Genomic DNA, 22,901 nt, shown 5'->3' on the forward strand with positions numbered 1-22,901 from the left:
CTGACGGTAATTCAACAGCTGGGATGTTTTATGATAGAGATAGTTGGTACGCCATGCTAGGTAATGTGATCCTAAAATAGATTAAAGAGTGAAGCCTCCTTCAGCTCTCCTCTCTGGCTTACACATAAAACACAAACCTGGCTAATATATCTTATCAATTCCTAGACAATTAGGCCCCTTGCAAAAGTCAGCAAAAAGATCACTGTGTAAATATTTAAAACCACTTTTAGATATGCCAGAAGAAAGAACCACCTTGAAGAATTAATAAGGAATGGTCAACATGGTTATGACTTTTGTCTGTTCTTGATATTTTTCTTTTTTTTTTTTTTTTTTTTTGAAACAGGGCCTTGCTCTGTCACCCAGGTGGAAGTGCAGTGGCATGATCATGGCTCACTGCAGCCTTGACCTCGGGCTCAAGTGATCCTCCAACCTCAGCCTCCTGAATAGCTGGGACTACAGGTGCTGCCACCATGCCCAGCTAAAATGTTTCATTTTTTGTAGAGATGGGGTTTTCACCATGCTGCCCAGGCTGATCTCAAACTCCTGGCCTCAAGTGATCCTTCTGTCTCGGTCTCCCAAAGTGTTGAAATTACAGACACGAGCCACCGCATCCAGCCATGATTTTTTTTAATAAGAAGAAATATAAAGTAATTAATGCTTTCTGAAGCATTGTTGTAACGTTAATTCTGTTTACACAAATAACATGCTGTGTAAGCTTGACTTAAAACATTAACTGTGTCCCACATAAATTTTTATAGAAAAGTCTGTCGTTTCACAATAATCCTTCAAAACATTGCTTCAAAGGAACCTAGAAATGCTAGCCCACTTCGGGAGGGAGCAGAAACCAGCAGGGGTTGAGAATGGCCAGGGGTACAGTTTGAAGTCAGGGGAGGCAGAGAGTCTGGTGTCTGAAAGCTCATTAAAACAGAGATCCCTGGCCAGTGTGGTGGCTCACACCTGTAATCCCAACACTTTGGGAGGCCGAGGCAGGTGCATCACCTGAGCTCGGGAGTTCAAGACTAGCCTGGGCAACACGGTGTAACCTCGTCTCTACTAAAATACAAAAAATTAGCCGGGCTTGGTGATGCATGCCTATAATCCCAGCTACTCAGAAGGCTGAGGTGGGAGAATTGCATGAACCCAGGAGGCAGAAGTTGCAGTGAGCTGAGATGGTGCCACTGCACCCCAGCCTGGGCGACAAAGCAAGACTCCATCTCAAACAGACAAACAAAAAACAACAGAGATCCCAAGGAAAGAGGTTGGCAGATGACAAGCTGAAGGGAATCATGCTTAACTAATAGCTAACACAAATGGTGTGGGTAAAAATTTAATTTAACTAATTAGTTTATTTATTTTTTTGATACAGAGTCTCACTCTATCACCCAGGCTGGAGTGCAGTGGCGCGATCTCAGCTCACTGCAACCTCCACCTTCTGGGCTCAAGCGATTCTCCTGCCTCAGCCTCCCGTGTATCTGGGACCATAGGCATGTGCCACCACACCAGGCCAATTTCTGTATTTTTAGTAGAGATGGGGTTTCACCAAGTTGGCCAGGCTGGTCTCGAACTCCTGACCTCAGGTGATCCACCTGCCTCAGCCTCCCAAAGCGCTGGAATTACAGGCATGAGCCACCATGCCCAGCCTTGAAATTTTAATTTTAAACAAGTTTACCAACTGGAAGTGCTTATGAACATATGAAATATGTATTATCATCTTGATAAATATACTCACAGATCCAGTAATATATATATCATCAAGTCATTTAAATTTCTGTATTATGAGAATTTTTTTGCTTGTAAGTGAAAGAAATTCAATCAAACCAGCTTAAGCCACTAAAAAAGGGCAGGCAATATGGCAACTTTCTGAAATTTCCACTTGAAATTGCTGTGAAACTGAACCTGTTCTAAAAAATAAAGTTTATTTATGCAAGAAAGATGCCAAGGCTGGAAAAAAAAAATAAAGTCTACTTTAAAAAGGGGGTGACAGGCAGATCTGGGGGTAACTGACAGTGTGGATGGAATATTTTTGCCACCCAGATTCATTATTTAGAACAATCCAGATAAGGACTGCTCCTAAAACTATCCAAATGCATGAGATTTTGGTTGGACCTTCGTGATTTTTATCACAGATTAATTACGAGGATAATGCTTTATATATTCTTTTGTGGGGAAAAAAGATCTGTTATTGTACTGCTATGAGAGAATCACTAAAAAGTTCTTATATGAGTAAGGCAGTTAATCCTGATCCTAAAGATGAACATTCGGTAGTGGCATTTGTAAGAATATCCTTAGAAGGAAACTGAGTGTGGAACGTGGCAAAATTGATGATGGTAACCCTGGTGGAAACCAGTCTATTTTGACTTCTCTGTCAATTCATAGGCTTTGGAAAATATTTAGTACCCCCCAGGTACATTTTAAGGCATTTGAGAAGAGTCTTGAAGACTGCCAGATTCTCAGGCTGTTGGAATTTCATGAGCAAGAAGGAAAAATAAGTGAAAACAAAATGATATAAACTCTGGACCATGAAACAAGGATTTGGTTTTGTGGGACATTCAAATAAATATACAGGCAAACTATTTTTGCTGACATGTATAAAGTAAGCCTTCCTTTTAAGCCATTAGACAGAAGCAGATGTCAAAGATGAAATCAAAGAAGGTAGAATCTTGGGTTAGCTGAGCTCAGAGGGACCCCAGAAATCATCTCTCCAGCCTTGTCATCTTACAGTTAGAGACACCGGAGCCTAGAGAACCCAAGTGACTGGCCCAGCTGAGGCTCTTTCTTCCGTGCCACACTTCTCTTGAAATAAAACACACTGAAAGAGCGAGCAATTCCTAGAAACTCCTCCATGACTAGAGGGAAAAACAGAAGGAAGGGAAGGAGGAAAAGGAGATCCTTGCTCAAGGAGGGAGTTCCTCTTCCAGTGGCTCAGCCCAAAGTCCCTTTAATAAATTGTTCTTAAACTTCAGGCAGACATGTCTGTTCATCCCATCAGTTACTCCCAATTATTCATCATTAGTAACCAACGTTCTGTACCCAGTTAAAAATGAGACGGACTTGAATGGATAAAATGTGGTACATCTAGACAATGGCTTATTGTTTAGCACTAAAAAGAAATGAGCTATCAAGCCATGAAAAGACATGGAGAAAACCTCAATGGATATTATTAAGTGAAAGAAGACAACCAGGAAAGGCTACGTACTGACTTTCCGGAAAAGCCAAAATTATGGAGACAGTTAAAAGTATCGGTGGTTTCCAGGGGTTGGGGGAAGGCAAAGATGAATAGGCCTAGCACAGAGCGTTTTTAGGACATTGAAAATCCTTTGCATGATACTCTAATGATGGATACGTGTAATTATATACTTATCCAAACTCACAGACTATACAACACCAAGAGTGAACCCTAGTGTAAACTGTGGACTTTGGTGATAATGATGTGTCAATGTAGGTTCAGCAATTCTACTAATCGTTCCACTCTAGTGGGGACATCGACAATGGGAAGGCCGTGCATGTGTGGGTGAAGGGGGCATATGGAAAGTCTCTGTCCTTTCTCTTAACTTTGCTGAGAACCTAAAACTGCTCTTAAAAAAAGTCTTAAAGAAAGAATAAGACTATGAAAAAAATCAAGATTTTAAAAAATGAAGTGAGTTTCAGGATAGAATGCAAGGAAATGTTAGAAACGCACCTTATATATGCATATTAAAAGGAGTTAATTGGCTTTTAAAATATTAATCTTAATAAACTTATTGTCTTACTAAAAAGTTTATGAGACTATATAAGTACTAATCTAATAAACAATGCTCTATGACCTGAATATCCCAAATATTAGTTAGTAGGAGGATAGATGCCTGCAAGCATGAAAGAAAGATTTAGTTTTGGATTTTCTGTCAATTTCTCGAGTAACTTTGGGAATGTCACTGTACTTTAGTTGTAGCTTCTCAACCCATAAAAAAGGGTAATAAAATTACCCACTGAGGGAACCTCAAAGAAGTGTTCTTACGATTAATGAGTTGATGATGCTGACTTGGCTTACACACCTGAGATGAAAGGCTGTGTATAAAAATGTAATGCCATTGTTGTTATAATTCCTGTTATTGTTCATACACAAGCAAATATAGGTGCACACGTTAGTCACAGCTAAAGATTAGGCCACCCAAGAAAAAGAATGAGTGCCTTTATGAATTGTGATTTCATTTGCACTATTACGTTTTCAGCATTATTTTAGTTAGATATACACCCTAACTTGAGTTATTGTTATAACAAAATGATTTCAAAACCTGACTTCCTGGTAGGAGATGAGGAATATGTGGAATGTTCCAGTAGCCAGCACTGGGACCTTCATAGTGCCTCTTGGATCTCAGTTTCCAAGTCAGTAAAATCCAGTTGTAGGATTAGGTGATCTCTGACTTTTCTATTAGCGCTGAGAGTTTACAATTCTCTATCACTCCAGCAACCCTGAGGGCCAATCCTGCAGCTGATGAAAAATAGAAGCCCTAGGATGAGTACAGTGGCTCATGCCTGTAATCCCAGCACTTTGGGAGGCAGAAGTGGGCAGATTGCTTGAGCTCAGGAGTTTGAGACCAGCCTGGGTATCATGGTGAAACCCCATCTCTACAAAAAATATAAAGTTAGCCGGGCATGGTGGCATGCGCCTGTGGTCCCAGCTCCTTGGGAGGCTGAGGTGGAGGATTGCTTGAGCCCAAGAAGTTGAGGCTGCAGTGAGCCTTGATAGTGCCACTGCACTCCAGTCTGGGTGACAGAGTGAGAGCTTGTCTCAAAAAAAAAGAAAGAAAAGAGAGAGAGAAGGAAGGAAAGAATAAAGAAAGAAAGAGAGAGAGAAGGAAGGAAAGAATAAAGAAAGAGAGAGAGAAAGAAAGAAAGAAGGAAAGAAAGAAAGAAAGAGCAAGAAAGAAAAGAGAGAGAGAAAGAAAGAAAGGAAGGAAGGAAGAAAAAGAGAGAAAGGAAGGAAAAGAAAAGAGAAGTTGGGGAAGGTTGGTTTTAAAACTGAGCAGTACAGTGATGTTTTAATACAGCTGTGCTGTAATCTTCGTTCTGTTACTTTATATTACTTGTAGTCAGACTTCCTCATCTGCAAATGGAGCTCAGAGCTCAGTGACCCTTCAGAGGGTCATTGGGAGGATTACATGAAAGGCTTAGATAGTACCCGGCACATAGGAAATGCTCAACCAATGTCAGATTTTACCAGGCTCTGGAAGGACCTACGTAGCGTCAACTTCACTTGCTCTGGCACCTGTACAACATTCACCAAACACTCACAATGCTCCTAGCAGAGTGCCTCCCACCCAGTAAATGCTCAAGCTAAAGACAATTTTTTTCAAGAAAAGTTTGAATTGCTTATTAATTCAAATCATTGTGGGCTGCAAAGAGCCTGAAAAGTGTCCCCCCAAACTATGCAGAATGGCTTTTGCATGTGCTCATAGCTGAACCTGGTTCTGACCGTTCATTCATCCATTAATTCATTCACCCAAGCACTCATTTATTTATCACTTATTTATCTGGGTCCCTGTGATGCACTTTGTGTAGCGCTGAATGCCAAGAAACAATTTTGAACTGGACAAAATCCCTCAGGGATCTTGCATTCTAATGACATCTAAACTGCTTCTTCCATCTTCTCCGTCTCTGAATTCTCTTTGCTTGTTTCCTGTTGCAGCCAGGGACCTTTGAGGTGACAAAGCTCCCCAAATCGGTATTCATTTGGAAAGCGGAGAAGGCGCCTGTCCTTCTCTGTCGCACTGGCTTTGTATCTGTGACAGTATGCACTGTGCTTAATCATGACAGGTACCAACTATGTTTTTGGGTTTTCTTTGCCGGGCACTACACTAAATGCCTTGTTTTGTATTATCTCCTTTCATCCAACCCAGTGGGGTAAGTAGTAGGTATAATTATCAGCTCTTTTTGGCAGATGTGGAAACTGAGGCATAGGACGTTTAAAGCAACTTGCCCAAGTTACAGGGCCAGTAAATGTTTGAGCTGAGATGTGGAGGCTTCAAGTCAGAATTGCCTAGCTCTGTGTTTTCCCTATGTCTCACAAAGGTTTTAGTGAAATACTTGTTTTGGTTTCCACTTAGAGGCCCTCTTTGCCCCAGTCTTTCCTCCCCATCCCTTTAAGACTGACAGTCTCCATTGAGATGGTGCCAGACATAGATAAGAATGAAAGACTCGGTGCTATTCTAGGGACCGCTCCTCTCCTCCTCTCCAGGGCCTAAGACTTTTGTCCTGGGTCAAGCCTCTTGAGCATGGCTCTCTCTCCCTTGAGAAAAGGTTTTTCACCACGAAGTTCTCCAGCCCTTAATGCAAATTGACATGTGGCAGGCAGCTCCAGATCTGAGTATCTCTTCTGCCCTATATTGCAGAATTAGACAACATACCCACGTTGACCTTTTCTGCATGATCTGTTCTGGATATGACTAATATATGCAGTTGCTGAGACAAACAAATGATTCTGTTCACCCTCCCAAACCTAGGTGCCAAAGTAGCAGATTGCTAGTGGGCAGGGTGTGTCATCTCATTTACCCGCTCTTCCTAGAAGCACATACATATAGCGTTGCAGAGAGTTGCTTACAGAGTGGGAGAGGAAAATTGTTCTTATGTTAAGGAACAGGCTTAATAGTGCTTAGGCCAGCTCACTGCCTTGACATTGGGAGAGGGAGCCAGAGATCAGCTTCCTCATATCATCAATGAACACTGTTACAGTATATGATCTTTGCAAATTTATGTTTTGGTCAGCTAGGGCTGCTGGAACAAAATACCATAGACCGAGTGGCTTAAAGAACAGAAATCTATTTCTCACAGTTCTGAGGCTGGAAGTCTGAGATCAGGGTGCCAGTCTGAGATCAGGGTGCCAGCATGGTTGGGTTCTGGTGAGAGCTCTCCTTCTGGCTTGCAGATGGCTGCCTTCTCAATGTCTTTACATGGTAGTGACAGAACAAGTCCCCATCTCTTCCGCTTCTAATAAAGGCACTAATCCCATCAGAGGGGTCCCACTCCCATGACCTTATCTAAACCAAATCATCTCCCAAAGGCTCCACTTTCAAATTCCATCATATTGGGGGTTAGGGCTTCAACATATGAATATTGAGGGGACATAAATATTCAGTCCACACAATTTATAAAAGACCAGTCATAACTAAAGTCTTTTTCTGAGACTAAGTCTCGCTCTGTTGCCCAGGCTGGAGTGCAGTGGTCAGATCTCAGCTCACTGCCACCTCCACCTCCCAGGTTCAAGCAATTCTTGTGCTTCAGCCTCCCAGATAGCTGGGATTACAGGTGTGTACCACCACACCCAGCTAATTTTTTTGTATTTTTAGTAGAGATGGGGTTTCACCATTTTGGCCAGGCTGGTCTCCAACTCCTGACCTCAAGTGATCCACCCAATTCGGCCTCCCAAAGTTCTGGGATTACAGGCATGAGCCACCATGCCTGGCCACCAATTATAACTAAAGTTTAATAGGCATAAAAAGTGAAATCATAGTATCTATCCAACAAGAGGAAAGGGAGATGGGGAGATCATAGTAGAATGCACCAGAGGTGTCTGAATATGGGTTCCAGGTACCTAGGGACTAACTGAGAGAAACCAGGGAATGAGAACTCAATCCATTTATGAGGAAATGAATATTTTGGAGGGCATGGGCAAGTGCCTTTCTAATAAGATTTCTTAGTACCACACTTTTCAAACTGGGGGCCATATCCATCTGGGAGTAGGAGGAGCCTTTCCTCCACAATAAAACAATTAAACAATATATACACCAGAATCTATGGTAAAGTAAGCGTTGTTCTATGAAACCTTTGCTTATACACATATTTGTGTATGTGTGCACTGGGTTGCACACATCTTTTTTGTGTGGGTTTTGGTCAAAATGTTTGAAAGTCACTGCCAATCTCTTCAATAATAACTCAGAATTTTAAAAAGTTTCTATTATATAATTATTCTCTTCCAAAAATAAACATGGGCACCGTTTCACTGCTGTGGCCATTTTCTTCTTCCTCTTTTAAAATCTTTTCCAGTTCTAACAAATAAAATTTGATGATGTTCAATAGTAGGTTAAGGGACTTAAGTCTCCTTCCATGAGATAATGATGACTTTTGAAAGCTCATTGTTAAAAGAAATCTATAAAATTTAACTAAAGAAAATACGTAAGGTTGGGCATGGCTGCTCACACCTGTAACCCCAGCACTTTGGGAGGCCAAGGAGGGCAGATCACCTGAGGTCAGGAGTTCGAGACCAGCCTGGCCAACATGGTGAAACCCCTTCTCCACTAAAACTACAAAAATTATCTGGCTGTGGTAGAACATGCCTGTAATCCCAGCTACTTGGGATGCCAAGGCACGAGAATTGCTTGAACCTGGGAGGCAGAGGTTGCAGTGAGTTTAGGTCGTGCCATTGCACTCCAACCTGGGCAATACAGTGAGACTCTGCCTCCAAAAAAAAAAAAGAAAGGCTCTCCCTCTGCCTCTGCCTCTGCCTCTGCCTCTGCCTCTGCCTCTGCCTCTGCCTCTGCCTCTCCCCACGGTCTCCCTCTCATGCGGAGCCGAAGCTGGACTGTACTGCCGGATGGGCCGGTCTCCAGCCCCTAACCGCGAGTGATCCGCCAACCTCGGCCTCCCGAGGTGCCGGGATTGCAGACGGAGTCTCGTTCACTCAGTGCTCAATGGTGCCCAGGCTGGAGTGCAGTGGCGTGATCTCGGCTCACTACAACCTACACCTCCCAGCCGCCTGCCTTGGCCTCCAAAGTGCCAAGATTGCAGCCTCTGCCCGGCCGCCACCCCGTCTGGGAAGTGAGGAGTGTCTCTGCCTGGCCGCCCATCGTCTGGGATGTGAGGAGCCCCTCTGCCTGGCTGCCCAGTCTGGAAAGTGAGGAGCGTCTCCGCCCGGCCGCCATCCCATCTAGGAAGTGAGGAGCGCCTCTTCCCAGCCGCCATCACATCTAGGAAGTGAGGAGCATCTCTGCCCGGCCGCCCATCCTCTGAGATGTGGGGAGCGCCTCTGCCCCGCCGCCCCATCTGGGATGTGAGGAGCGCCTCTGCCCGGCCGAGACCCTGTCTGGGAGGTGAGGAGCGTCTCTGCCCGGCCGCCCCGTCTGAGAAGCGAGGAGACCCTCTGCCCGGCAACCACCCCGTCTGAGAAGTGAGGAGCCCCTCCGCCCGGCAGCTGCCCCGTCTGAGAAGTGAGGAGCCTCTCCGCCCGGCAGCCACCCCATCTGGGAAGTGAGGAGCGTCTCCGCCCGGCAGCCACCCCGTCCGGGAGGGAGGTGGGGGGGGGTCAGCCCCCCGCCCGGCCAGCCGCCCCGTCCGGGAGGGAGGTGGGGGGGTCAGCCCCCCGCCTGGCCAGCCGCCCCGTCCGGGAGGGAGGTGGGGGGGTGAGCCCTCCGCCCGGCCAGCCGCCCCGTCTGGGAGGTGAGGGGCGCCTCTGCCCGGCCGCCCCTACTGGGAAGTGAGGAGCCCCTCTGCCCGGCCAGCCGCCCTGTCCGGGAGGGAGGTGGGGGGATCGGCCCCCCGCCCGGCCAGCCGCCCCGTCCGGGAGGGAGGTGGGGGGGTCGGCCCCCTGCCCGGCCAGCCGCCCGGTCCGGGAGGGAGGTGGGGATGTCGGCCCCCCGCCCGGCCAGCCGCCCCGTCCGGGAGGTGAGGGGCGCCTCTGCCCGGCTGCCCCTACTGGGAAGTGAGGAGCCCCTCTGCCCGGCCAGCCGCCCCGTCCGGGAGGGAGGTTGGGGGGTCAGCCCCCCGCCCGGCCAGCCGCCCCGTCCGGGAGGGAGGTGGGGGGGGGTCAGCCCCCCTGCCCGGCCAGCCGCCCCGTCCGGGAGGTGAGGGGCGCCTCTGCCCGGCCGCCCCTACTGGGAAGTGAGGAGCCCCTCTGCCCGGCCACCACCCCGTCTGGGAGGTGTGCCCAACAGCTCATTGAGAACGGGCCAGGATGACAATGGCGGCTTTGTGGAATAGAAAGGCGGGAAAGGTGGGGAAAAGATTGAGAAATCGGATGGTTGCCGTGTCTGTGTAGAAAGAAGTAGACATGGGAGACTTTTCATTTTGTTCTGCACTAAGAAAAATTCCTCTCTCTTGGGATCCTGTTGATCTGTGACCTTACCCCCAACCCTGTGCTCTCTGAAACATGTGCTGTGTCCACTCAGGATTAAATGGATTAAGGGCGGTGCAAAAAAAAAAAAAAAAAAAAAAAAGAAAGAAAAAAAGAAAATATGTAAATAAAGAGAGATAATGTACCATATCCTTGAATGCAAAGACTCAATAGCATTTAAAGTCTTTTGCAATATTGGATTCTCATTTCCTCACAGGTAAACTTGCTTTTTAGTTTTGTCCATTTGGCTGTTTAATCCTTCTACTGACATTTGTCTATTATATTTAAAACTTTCAAGATATTAGTTATTTCATGTCTATGATATCCTCTCAAATTTTCTGAGGATATTAATTTTTGTCATAACATCTTTTGCCTGTCTAATTAGCTATATTCTCTCAGGCATTTATTCTTCTGTTTATTGAATTCGGTGCCATTTTATGATAGTGTTTCTCCCTAAATATTTAGTGATACTTGTTTTCCTCTTGATCTTTGTACTGAAAGTTTCTGGCCACCTGCCAGTTATACCTAGCGTTCTGGGAGCAGGTGGGGTGGACAGGAGAACTGTGTTGACAGGAGGAGGCGACCTTTAGCTTCTCCTTAAGTGTGGAAGCTACCAGTGCCCATAGGGATGTGTAATTTTCCACATCTTGTCTCTATAGCACCAGTGCCCACAACCAAGGCCTTAACTGTGAGCTAATCCCTGAGCTTTCCAAATTTCTCCTACATCTTTCCTTGTGTATTCTGCTCCTCAACCATTGCTTCTCAGTTGGATGTGTTCCTAGGACTGCTCTCAACATTAAACCTTGTTTTCTTCTGGTTATTAATCCATAGTGCTAGCCCTTAGGGATCTCTGTTAGTAATCCTTTAACTTTTTTGGTCCATTGAAAACACTCTTATTTCCAAGTCTAATATGAAATTTATTCCGGCTTAATGTTTGTTCCAGCTCCAAAACCACAAATTATGACATCATGTATATATCTCCTGATCTAACATTTTAACTGTATCTTTGATGTTTAATATTCATCTTTCTTTCTTTTTTTTTTTTTTTTTGAGATGGAGTCTCACTGTCTCCCAGGTTGGAGTACAGTGGCGAGATTTTGGCTCACTGTAAGCTCTGCCTCCCTGATTCACGCTATTCTCCTGCCTCAGCCTCCCGAGTAGCTGGGACTACAGGCGCCTGCCACCATGCCCAGCTAATTTTTTGTATTTTTAGTAGAGACAGGGTTTCACCGTGTTAGCTAGGATGGTCTCAATCTCCTGACCTCGTGATCCACCCGCTTCGGCCTCCCAAAGTGCTGGGATTACAGGCGTGAGCCACTGCGTCCAGCCCATCTTTCGTATCTTAAATCAGTACCTTCCCTAAAATGGATAAATAGTATTTTCACTATCTGTCCTCTCTTTTTAGCAAAGCAATATCCTCTGAAAAAGTAAGAAGGAAAGATCTCAAGTGTATAGAATTATCCTTCTCATGTCAAATTACTTGTATTATTAATATAGGCTGGGTCGGCTGGGCGCGGTGGCTAAAGCCTGTAATCCCAGCACTTTCAGAGGCCAAGGCAGGCAGATCATGAGGTCAGGAGTTTGAGACCAGCCTGGCCAACATAGTGAAACCCTGTCTCTACTAAAAATACAAAAATTAGCTGGGTGTGGTGGCATGCACCTGTAATCCCAGCTATTTAGGAGGCTGAGGTGGGAGAATTGCTTGAACCCAGGAGGCGGAGGTTGCGGTGAGCCGAGACCATGCTATTGCACTCCAGCCTGGGTGACAGAGTGAGACTCCGTCTAAAAACAAATTTTTATATATATATATATATATATATATATATATATATATATATATATATATATATATATATATGTTTCAAATCCAATACATTGGCTTTATCTATATAATTGGTTTTCATGATCAGTGTCATTTCATTTCCTACAGGAATAGCAGGGCAGGCACTTAAATAATGTCTTTACCAGACTTACCTTCTGTCCCCAGTAGATAGAAATTTGTAAAAGGCTGTTGAAAAAAATGTCGAAAGTCAGAAAAGCCTGTCATCTGAAGCTTCAGTTTCTGTAGAATGGGGCTTGTTGCCTTAATCTTTGTATTTCTGCAAAGTCTCTTTGCTTCTTAGGTTAGTTGTACAAATTACAATCCATTTATCATTCAAGTGTAAGTGTGAAAACGCCTTCTAGGGCAATTATTGAGAAAAGACTGAGTCTCTGACAAAAATAAATACTGACTTAGAACCAGACAGAAACTGTATATTACTAGGAAACCTTTCTCATTAATGGATCAATGAGATCAATCAGTAATTAAGCACTTCCCACAACTCAACACAGAACTCCCTCAATAGCAAAGCCAGTAAAAAATGAGTTTTTACTCATTTTTTTAGGCTAATTTCAAGAAATAGGAGAAAACAAAGAGACCAAAGAAACTAAGAAATCACTGCAATGATAATATGGGAGTCATTATAGGCAGGATTTGGGGACATTTGCCTTCACTTATTCTGGCCTGGTAGATAAATTGGGTCCTGTTTTTTTTCTGCAGCCTTATGTAACAGTCTTACTTTTTCAGGTTGAATGGAGTTCACAGTGGTTCTTAACCTCATTTTCTTCTAGCTAAAAGTTATGACTCATTTATATCTGCAATTGCCTCACCCTTTCATTTTTCAGTGGAGCTAAGGCATCGGGATTATGGGTGGGAGGCAGATCCTCAACAAGAAGCCTGAGGAATGGACTGGAAGATACTAAGGCTGGCAAAGGAACACAGGCTTCTGCCTGCTTTGTTTTCCAGAACTCGGTCTTCCTTTTCTTGGAATGTTGTCTTCATTCTATCTCATCTTAAAAGTCACCTCCTCCAGGCAGCCTTCCCTGACTCTCCAGACCCTCTGTCCTTATTCTTCTTCATCTAGGCATGTGATTATATCACTCCCTGGACCTTAAGGTCATGAAAACTGTGACTTTGTTTTGCCCACAAGTGGCACTGCCAAGATATCACATAGTGCCTGGTGCATAGCAGGTACTGTAAACATGTAGTGAATGTGTGGATTACATCTCTTTTCCGGCATCGAATCCTAAGTTCTGATTGGGTTTGTGAGGCCTGAGTCTGAGTTGTTGGCAAAAGTGAAATTTCCCCAGCACTTAGCAGAGTATCTTCCTTTTTCATCTTGCCTCTCCTTCAGTTGTCCTTCTTACTCACTCATTCCCATTTCAAGCTTGGCTCAAAAAGTGCTAAGTATGGCTTCAATATTTTGCTGATGAAATGGTATCTTTTTATTATCTGGCTAAATATCTTCCTAACCCTGTCATATTCTCTGTAAAAAAGAGATAAGAATTCAGTTATAAAGCCCTTTGAATAAGTTGATTATGATTTTTATAAACTGAAAATAAAATACTGACGTTGAGTGAGTTCAATTATTGCTATAATTGCAGGGAGTCATCTTTTCTGAAATCAAATTTGTAACTTAATCCTTTCAAGAAAAGTAATATTTTGACTATGGCTGGTAATCAGACAAAGAAAAAGTCTTAAATTATAACAGAAAGGCCCAATTAACATTCAAAATTGATTTGCCACCCAGATCATCTAATGGTATCAAGTACAGCATTATTTTCACAAAATGTTTAAAATCGAGGGGGAGATAAAAATTGTGTGAAGCATTTTACCTGAAGTATTAATTAAATGCAATCATTTAATAAGTTAAGAATGTTTAAAAATTTTTTAAATATCCATTTTAATATAGAAATAGAGCTGGGTGCGGTGGCTGACGCCTGTAATCTCAGCACTTTGGGAGGCTGAAGTGGGCGGATCACCTGAGGTCGGGAGTTTGAGACCAGCCTGACCAACACGGAGAAACCCCGTCTCTACTAAAAATACAAAATTAGCTGGGCATGATGGCGCATGCCTGTAGTCCCAACTACTCAGGAGGCTGAGGCAGGAGAATCACTTGAACCTGGGAGGCGGAGGTTGCGGTGAGCTGAGATCGTGCCATTGCACTCCAGCCTGGGCAACAACAGTGAAACTCTGCCTCAAGAAAAAGAAAAAAAAAAGAAATAGAAATGAGGTCTCACTATGTTGTTCAGTCTGGTCTTGAACTCCTGAGCTCAAGTGATCCTCCTGCCTTGGCCTCCCAAAGTGCTAGGATTACAGGCATGAGCCACCACACTCAGCCTAAAATTTTTAAAAATTTGCTCTGGAAATATTAGCAATGTAACAACTTTCAGAATAACAGATGTAGAATAGTGAGAAAATTGATTAAAACTATTAAACTAATTTTTAGGTTAATAATTACAGTTGATCTTCTTTATCTGCAGGTCTACATCCACTAATTCAACCAAAAGTGCATTGAAAACATTTTTTTAAATGGCTGAGTGCAGTGTCTCATGCCTGATATCCCAGCACTTTGGGAGGCCAAGGCGGGCAGATCACCTGAGGTCAGGAGTTTGAGACCAACCTGGCCAACATGGCGAAACCCCGTCTCTACTAAAAATACAAAAAAATTTAGCTGGGCATGGTGGTGTGTGCCTGTAATCCCAGCTACTTGGGAGGCTGAGGCAGGAGAATCAACTGAACCTGGGAGGCGGAGGTTGCAGTGAGCCAAGATCGCATCGCTGCACTCCAGCCTGGGCGACAGAGGGAGACTCTATCACAAAAAAAAAAAATTTTATATATATATATATATTTAAAAACAAACCATAGAAAATGAAACGACAAAGAATAATACAAATTAAAAAACAATACAGTATAATAATTACATACATAGCATTTACATTGCATTAGGTATAAGTAATCTAGAGATGATTTAAAGTATACAGGAGGCTGTACATAGATTATAAGGAAATACTATACCATTTTAAATAAGCGACTTGAGCATTCATGGATTTTGATATCCACAGGGTGGAATTCAATTCCTGGAACCAATTCCTTGTGGATACCAAGAGATGACAATATGTTGCTATATAAATTGGCTATACGGATTTTTCCATCAGTATATCACATTAACGAAGTTTAATTTATCCTTTCATCATATTTTTAACTCAGTGTGATTAAAAATACATTAATACTACTTATTTTTCCAATTCATTTTTTTTATATTGCAGGGAGAAATTTCTGAAAGATTTTACCCAAGAAGGAGAGTTCTTAAATAAGTAGTTAAGAGTGGTTAAATAAGCCAACTTAAAGAAGTAGAATGTGAACTAGTTTTATTTTTAAAGTTTGTTTTACCTGATCAAGAACTTTCAACTTATAACTTAGTTAAAATATTAAAACGTTAGGCCGGGCGCTGTGGCTCACGCCTGTAATCCCAGCACTTTGGGAGGCTGAGGCAGGCGGATCACGAGGTCAGGAGATCGAGACCATCCTGGCTAACACGGTGAAACCCTGTCTCTACTAAAAATACAAAAAAAGTTAGCCGGGCATGGTGGCGGGCGCCTGTAGTCCCAGCTTCTTGGGAGGCTGAGGCAGGAGAATGGTGTGAACCCAGGAGGCGGAGCTTGCAGTGAGCTGAGATCGAGCCACTGCACTCCAGCCTGGGCGACAGAGCGCGACTCCATCTCAAAAAATATATATATATATTAAAACGTTAAGGAGGGAGAAACATTAAGGTATGAATAACAATATAAAGACAGTCTGTATCACATATTTTTCAGAGCTAAAAATAAACAAATGTAAGACATTATTCAATGGCGGGCATGCTTATGCAAACCTAAACCCAAAGTCTGAGGAGGCGGAGAGGCTGAAGAAAGAGGCTGAAATACCTGGTGTCTCAAAAAGAAATGTTTAATAGGGGCTTACCAACAGAACGATATAGTCTTAGGTGGCGGCAAGACCACATGGTGAATCCTGGCACCATTACCCCCCCAGATCCAGGGCATACGTATCACAGGGAAAGGGTGTATGCGATTCAGAGGGGATGTGTAGACAACTGAAGTATGATAACATCAAGGCTATTTTGACCCAAGGGTGGAATACACCGTAAATACATGCTCTTACCTAAAGAACAATAGATAAACTGGAAAGCTTAGAGGCCTTCCCAGAACTGGGGCTAATCAGAAGATAACATGGCAGATGAGCATCCAAGATGGAGTTACTTTTGCCTCCACGGATGTACTAAATTGAACCGAGTGTATATGCAAGTAAAGGTTAACTGCATTCTGTTGTAGTCTGGTCTTGAATGCAGAGAGGATTCTTGTATTGAAGCAAACATGCCTGTTTGGTCATTAATGGATCTAGCGTGTAGAATATCCAGCACTGGCTGAGATCATAGCATGATATTATTTTAATTAGTATGATGTGCTTGATCATGTTCAAAGTTCAAATAAGGTCACATCTTCCTTTAATAATCAAGTTACTTAATCACTGGGGCGCTACTTGCCCAGATGTGCAGAATTCTGCTTTCTCTCTTGAGGGCTTCTCCCAAGAACACTAAGAGGTTACAGAGTCCAGCCAGGCCAGTCCTGCTTCCAAATATCTTGCCAAGGGAGCCTGGGAAAGCTGACTAGTTCACTGGTAGATTTCGCATTTTCTGAGGCTGTGGCTTTTGTGCATGGGCCCAGGTTTCCACTCTGTTTGGCCACAGTTCCCAAAAGCACATCTTCCTTGTCAGAGTAAGCCATGCACTCTGCTGGAACCAGCTCTCAATAATCTAGACCTTGATATTGAGCTTAGGAGTCTAGGCCAGTTCACCCTTTTCTTCTTGGCCAGATTCTCCTTGCAGACCATCTCAGTCCCATATACAGAATCTGAACCCCAAAAGGGTAGGAATTATAAATCTCTACATTTTCCCCAAAGCTTCTAGTTCCCCATGCAAATTTGGCCACATTCTCCCCAAAACATACCACTCCTGCATACCATGGAGTATTGATGGAGCATACTTTGATAGGCCAAAAAACAAAACAACTACAACAAACTAAGACAACTTCAAATAAAAATTTAAAAAAAGCAATGCTTTCCTAAACCAAGACAACATTTATTTGCTGCTGCCATCTAGGCTGAGATGTGTTCAACATTATTTAAATGACAATCTCTCTAAGTAAATTTAAATTCAGCACTAAGCAATAAAACAATATTCAAAGTACAATAGATTTGAAAATAAGTTTATTTCTCAATCTCTTCTTGCGTTAACTTTACTTCCTTCCAATCTTGCGGGTAAAGTGTCTTTACTTCTGGATGAGGAAACTCTAAGACCACTGAACAACACATTGACAAGGAATAGAGCTACCCCTACAGCTTTGATAAACATGTTTCATTGTACACACAACCAAGAAATAGCTCTTAATATTATATTTCTCCTAATTCAACTTTCTGTATATTTTTGAAATCCTTATTTAACTTCAAAGGGTCTCTTCTTGGAAGAGAATTATGAATCCAATCTATGTTATCTGACTAAAATACAAGAAATAATATAAATTTGTTGCAGATGGGTTACAATTTGATTATGTTCCTCATCCTTAGCAAACCTTGGTAGTTTGTGATCAAATACAGACTTAATACCTCCATCAAGTAAAATCAAACAAATCCAGAAACCTCTCTAGCATCTTTCTACCAATTTTTAAATGCCAAATTTTTACCTTCTGTGTCTTCATGGTAGGAATTCTTAGATATATTTTCTTTAAAAAAAAAAGTCTGGTTTTAATTTTTGTCTTAGTACTCATGCTTGTACTCTTTAATCTTCAGAGCTGAGAATTATTCTCTTCTACACTTTTAATTTAAAATCTTATTTATGAGAACAAAGACTTTCTGTTTCCAGTCACTTATGGAGCCTCCTTTGAATTTCAAGAATTAAACATTACTCTAAATGTATGTTTTTTATTTCTTAGTCAAATCTAGATGTCTCTAGATTTTGTTGTAGTATAAAAGACTGTGAAATACCATGAGTAGTTCTGAATATATATAGTCTCCAGTGATTTGTTAAGCAGTTATTTGTTAAGTAATGAACCACTCAAACTTCAAAATTTCTGTAGGGTTTTACAGAAAACCCCTCAGGGTAGAAACTCAGTGGCTGGCAACTAAATCTATTCTGAACAAGATCTTTCAAAACATTTGAGGAGTTCATTTACAAGATCATAAATATTCTCAGACATTTACTTCAGTTGGATTTTATTTCCAAGTCAGCACATCGGCAACACTCCACATGGCATAGAGCAAAAAGGATCCTATGTATTAATTAAGACTTTTTGCAAGTGACAGAAAAACACCTCTAGCTAATTTAGACCATGAAGGGGATTTATTGGCTCACATAATAAAATGCTCCAAGATATACAGCCTTCAGACAAGATTTGAGCTCATGGTTCAAATGGTCTCATCAAGAAGGATATCATCTTCTTGTTCTTCCGGGTATCTCACCTCTCTCCATCCCTCCCCAGAAGCTCTAGGGGGCAAAATGGCAGCAGCATTCAAAGACCTCCCATCTTCACATCACACCTTCTAGGATAACCAGCTCCTTCGGGGGCCTTGGGTATCACCATCTCTTTGACCAAAATCGTGTAACTTGTTGTTTCAGGAAAATTCTCCTCAAAGAGTGTTTTGATGCCTACATACCAAGCAGCAGGCACCAGCTGGGTGTCCTCCAATTCCATTCTGACACTATCTACCAGGAGATAGTGTCAGATCCCAGAGGCTGTGGGCTCAGTCCCTAAGACTGTCCCCCTCTTCAGCCACCAGTTGCAAGTCTGGGCATCCAGAAGTTCCGGCTGACTGGCTTCCAGTTGGGGTTCCTAAGACCCCTCTTTGGGTTCAATTAATTTTCTGGACAGCAGCTTGTGGAACTCAGGGAAACACCTGCATTTACTGGTTTATTAAGAAGGACATTACAAAAGATACAAATGAAGGGATGTGTAGGGTGAAGTCTGGGGCAAAGGGTGTGGAGCTTCCATGCCCTCCCTGTGCCTTCCACCCTCCAGGAACCTCCATGTGTTCAGCTATCTGGAAGCTCTCTGAACCTGTCTTTTTTTTTTTTTTTTGAATGGAGGCTTCATTAGATAAGCATGATTGCCCTCTCTGTGTAGCGTTCCTTCCTCTAGGATGTGGGGCAGGACCCTCTCTGGAATGAGGGGCTTTATTTTTATTTTTATTTTTTATTTTTTTAATGTATTTTATTTTATTTTATTCTATTTTATTTTATTTTTTTGAGATGGAGTCTTGCTCTGCTGCCCAAGCTGGAGTATAGTGGCACAATCTCACCTCACTGCAACCTCCGCCTCCCAGGTTCACGCCATTCAAGGAGGGGCTTTTGACCCACAATGAGTTTAGAGTTTTGTCTTGGGCAGGTGAAAAGAGAATAGGAGAGGGTTAGAGAGAGAGATTCTATTTCTTAAGACCTGCTTCTGAGGCTTAAAGTGCCCTGACATTATAACAAAAGACTGCAGCAAGGGCTATGAGAGTTATGAGCCAGGAGCCATGGACAAAAACCAACATATATATATATATATATAAAATCAGAATATCACACTTGTCTATCCCTGAGCCAATCTCTGTGGCCAAGGGGATGGAACATGTTGATAAATCTTAGATCTAGCACCCCAACCCCCTTCCCAGAAGTGAGGTTGATTCCTTAGGCAGAGGTGGAGTGCTTGCTGTACCCTAATGGCAGGAGATGGGGTCATAGTTGGATGGATGGTGATGGGGCATGACACCCTTCCTCTCCATACTCTTTTCTTTCCCATTGAATTTTAGTGGAAGACATTGGGATATAGAAAATAGGTTTCTAGATGTTGACAACCTACTTGACTGCTTTTAGATTTATGTCCTCCAGAGTAGCCTGTTGTCTCTGGCCATTTCTGCAGGGCAAAACATATGTTTCTACACCTTTGTTGATGTAATTCATTCAGCCATCATTTCACTATTTTGTTCATTCATTTGTTCATTTAATATATATTTACGTGCCCAGTTCTGTGCTTTTTTTCCCATATCTTCTCTTAAGACTGAGTTATAGGCTGGGCGCAGTGGCTCATGCCTATAATCCCGGCACTTTGGGAGGCCGAGGAAGGCGGATCACTTGAGGCCAGGAGTTAGAGACCAGCCTGGCCAATATGGTGAAATCTCATCTCTACTAAAAATTCAAAACCTAGCCAGGCATGGTGGTGCACACCTGTAGTCCCAGCTACTTAGGAGGTTGAGGTGGGAGGATCGCTTGAACCCGAAAGGTGGAGGTTGCAGTGAGCCAAGATTGTGCCACCACACTCCAGGCTGGGTGACAGAGTGACTCCTTATCAAAAAAAAAAAAAAAAGACTGAGTGAAGATGCTGGGCCTGGTGGAGCTGAACCCAGGCAGAGCCAGTGTGCTCAGAGGTAATGGGAGTAGAGGGGACGATGTTTGAGTAATTTTCCTTGCTGATACACAGGTCTGCCAAGAGCTTTTCTTTATAGGCATATGACTAACTCCACCCACTCTCACCTAGAAATGCCTGGGAGTTTTCCAGGTAGTTAATTAGCTATTCACAGATAATCCTTGGGAAGCTCCAATTTTCAAACAAAGTATCTTTTAATGGCACTTTTAAATTATCTCCTTAGATAACAAATGTAATCACTGCCATTTATTGAATGCCTACTAGGCACTAAGTTATTCATTTTACTTACATTAGGTTATTAATTCTTTACACAAACCACTAAGGTAAGAATTATGATTTTACCATTATAAAATGAAGGCATAGAAAGGCCAAGTGAATTTCTCAAGGTGGAAAGCAACAGAACCAGGGTGTAAACCTAGGTCTGTCCAATGCCAAAACCAGTGCTTATTCCACGGGCCTCTCTCTCCCATGGTACACTGCAGCATTACTAAATATCAAACCTTATTTTCATTATTAGGTCACAATGAAACCCAGCTATCCTAACAGTGTCTATTAAATTCAATTTAGTAAGTAATTCTGAAACTAAGACTTAGATTTGGAATGGGGCTGGGCACGGTGGCTCATGCCTGTAATCCCAGCACTTTGGGAGGCTGAGGCAGAAGTTCAAGACCAGCCTGACCTATATAGTGAAACCCCATCTCTACCAAAAGTACAAAAAAATTAGCCGGGCATGGTGGCGTGCCCCTGTAGGACTACTTGAGAGGCTGAGACAGGAGAATCCCTTGAACCTGGGAGGCGGAGTTTGCAGTGAGCCGAGATTGTGCCGCTGCACTCCAGCCTGGGTGACAGAGCGAGACTACATCTCAAAAAAAAAAAAAAAAAAAAAAACAAGATTTGAATGGATCTAGAAGACTATGCTAATAGAACTACATTTTTACTGGGAACTAGTAGTAGAATTTAGGTTTTCTTTTTTTTTTGAGACAGGGTCTCACTCTGCCACCCAGGCTGAAGTTCAGAGGCACAATCTTAGCTCACTACAACTTCTACCTCGCAGGCTCAAGCTCAAGCTCCAACCTCAGCCTCCCGAGTAGCAGGAACCACAGGCACAGGCCACCACGCCTGGCTAATATTTTTTGTATTTTTCGTAGAGACGGGGTTTTACCATGTTGCCCAGGCTGGTCTTAAACCTCTGGGCTCGAGTGATTCATCCACCTTGGCCTCCCGAAGTGCTGGGATTACAGGGGTGAGTGACCGCACCCATCCGAATTCAGTATTTCTAACTCCCAACTTGTTCTTTTCTGAATCCCTAAAAAGAAACTAAGACACAGACCCTTCCTGAACTTAGAGTCTAGTTGGATTACAGGTCTTACAGAAACAACGCTGCTCTTAATTGTCAAAGCGAACTGTACAAATGTAGTTGAATGTCAAATGGAATATTAACAACAGTAAAAACTGCCGGAGGAACTTTAGTGTGCATTCCTTCTGCTGTTTCATTTTGTTTTCACAATTTTGGGGAAAGCTTCTTTTGCCTTTTCCCATTGTTCCACCTGGAGGAACTTCCATTAGAATAATGCATTTATCTTAGAAGTGAGTTACTTAATGGTGATAGTGAGGATTCCACACCTAGTGGTGCATGTTCCTTGATTGTGTAAAATTAATTTACTTAAAAGCTGCAAGGCTGCATTCATCAGAGATTCATTCTCTTTCCTCTCTACCAGACCAGTGCAAGGCAGTGATTCCAGATAGGTGCACCTGCCAAGGTGCTCTGTCCTACAGTTCACACTGCGTGAGATGGGCTGGAATGTTAGCCAGCCCTGCCTTTGGCTACAGGTGTAAATTCATGTTCTCCCATCAACTGCCACTTTCCCTCCATCTGTCAACTCCCTGTGTCTTATGTCTCAGTTGCTTCAGAACTCCACAGAGGAAAAAGGAAGTGGTTTGTTTGTTTGTTTGTTTGTTTTGTTTTTTTGTTTTTTTGAGATGGAATCTTGCTCTGTCTTGCCCAGGATGGAGTGTAGTTGCGTGATCTCAGCTCACTGCAGCCTCCCCTTCCCGGGTTCAAGTGATTCTCCTTTCTCAGCCTCCCGAGTAGCTGGGACTGCAGGCGTGTGTCACCACGCCCAGCTAATTGTGTATTTTTAGTAGAGATGGGGTTTCACCATGTTGGCCAGGCTGGTCTCGAACTCCTTCTGACCTCAGGTGATCCGCCCGCCTTGGCCTCCCGAAGTGCTGGGATTACAGGTGTGAGCCACCGCACCCAGGCTTCCTCCTTTCTTATCTCTGACTTCTCTCTCACTCCTGCTACCTGGGATCACCACCGATTAAACTATACCTGCAATTGAGAGGCCAAGGCTGCTGGATGGCTTGACCCCAGGAGTTCAAGACCAGTCTGGGCAACATGGCAAAACCCCATCTCTACAAAAAAGTACAAACATTAGCTGGGCATGGTGCATGCGCCTGTAGTCCCAGCTGCTCGGGAGGCTGAGGTGGGAAGATCATCTGACCCTGGGGAGGTCGAGGCTGCAGCGAGCCAAGATCGCACCTC

The 22,901-nt window shown here is 43.3% G+C and overlaps 1 annotated feature.

Annotated features, from left to right (window-relative positions):
• Positions 10,511 to 10,805: a silencer, noted in NCBI's record as "tiled region #2575; K562 Repressive non-DNase unmatched - State 13:Ctcf". NCBI's record gives its function as "represses a minimal TATA promoter and a strong SV40 promoter by Sharpr-MPRA in K562 cells {active_cell/tissue: K562}" and the evidence as "EXISTENCE:reporter gene assay evidence [ECO:0000049][PMID:27701403]".

This window comes from Homo sapiens, chromosome 2 (assembly GCF_000001405.40).
Source record: "Homo sapiens chromosome 2, GRCh38.p14 Primary Assembly".
Classification (NCBI taxonomy): domain Eukaryota; kingdom Metazoa; phylum Chordata; class Mammalia; order Primates; family Hominidae; genus Homo; species Homo sapiens.